General features: G+C 36.7%; 1 annotated feature.

Moving 5' to 3' along the window:
• Positions 215-509: a silencer, noted in NCBI's record as "tiled region #14582; K562 Repressive DNase unmatched - State 12:CtcfO". NCBI's record gives its function as "represses a minimal TATA promoter and a strong SV40 promoter by Sharpr-MPRA in K562 cells {active_cell/tissue: K562}" and the evidence as "EXISTENCE:reporter gene assay evidence [ECO:0000049][PMID:27701403]".

Raw genomic sequence — 1,312 nt, forward strand, 5'->3', positions numbered from 1 at the left:
AAGTGTGCGTTAAAAGTTCTTGCTAAGCATTGCTTGACAGTGGGATTTCTTAGCAGAATATTAAATTAGGACCCTCAAATTTTAGAAGGGTAATATTTTAATTTGTGAATATCAAATTTTTAAATTATTAATAATGCACTTGGAAGATTACTCACAGCTAGGTAATATTTATTTGAATATAAATATAAGCATATATTGAATTCCCAAACTTTTTCCACTCCTAAAAAACTGAGAAACAGACTTTCTGAACTGCTCTTGGGCTTCAGACTATGCTGAGATGAAAACACAGCTGTAGTTCAGGGGCTTCGTCACAGATAATATGCATTTTGGTGTCACCTACTGGCATGATGTGACATGACATGACAGAAGTTTATGAGCCAAAGCATTTAAAATAGTAATGGTGCATTGTTCTGTGTCAAACACTGCGTCAGGCACAAAAGGTACAGTAGTAAGCAAAATAAACTACTACTTCCACTATCAGGGGAGGCAAATATTAATAAAATAATCACAAAAGTAGAGGCAAGATGGAACGGTCCTAATCTTGGGGATCAGAGAGTGCTGAGGCTGAAGGCAGGGTCTAAGTTCTCTAGGCAAACAGAGGAAATAGGGAGATGAAGGGGAGAAGACTGCGTAGGGGACTGGACAGGAGGGAGCCTGGCATGTTTGAAGAAGTGAGGGAAGCCATGGTGGCTGGAACCCAGAAAACTGAAGGGAAAGGAGGGTAGGAGTGGTGAAACATGAAGCTGAAGAGATAATAATAGTAGTTGTAGTAATAAGATGCTCTTTCATGGATAATTCTCTATCATGGCTTCACAGAGAGCTCCAACCTGTTAATGTTCAATTTAATTGTATTGAACAGCTACAAAGGACCACATTCTATAGCTGCAATGTTCTCATCTTCAAGGTCATTGGAAAATGTTGTTATCAAAATTAAGGGTGTAGCTCAATAAACTGACAAACTCAAGATTCAAAATTGTTTTTAACAACCAGGAGTTGGGGGTTAAAACAAACAAGTTGAAAGTTAAAAAAAAATAAAGTCCTTCATGTAAGGTGAAAACAAAAATATGCAAAATATGGTAGCAACCTGGCTTATAAAAAAGATATGGAAATTTTAGTTGGCCTCAGGTTCAATATATGTTAAAAGTGTGAAAAGACACGGAATATTAACTTATGATTTTTTTAAGTACCTTTTCTGGATCAAGGGAGGTAAGAGTCAAGAGGAGTCTTTGCAGTTCTCTGTGCTACATTTTAAGGATTTTGACCAACTAGAAAAAAATGACCTGTGTAATGAAGAGTTTAAATGCATGCCAAA

Source organism: Homo sapiens, chromosome 4 (assembly GCF_000001405.40).
Source record: "Homo sapiens chromosome 4, GRCh38.p14 Primary Assembly".
Taxonomy (NCBI): Eukaryota; Metazoa; Chordata; class Mammalia; order Primates; family Hominidae; genus Homo; species Homo sapiens.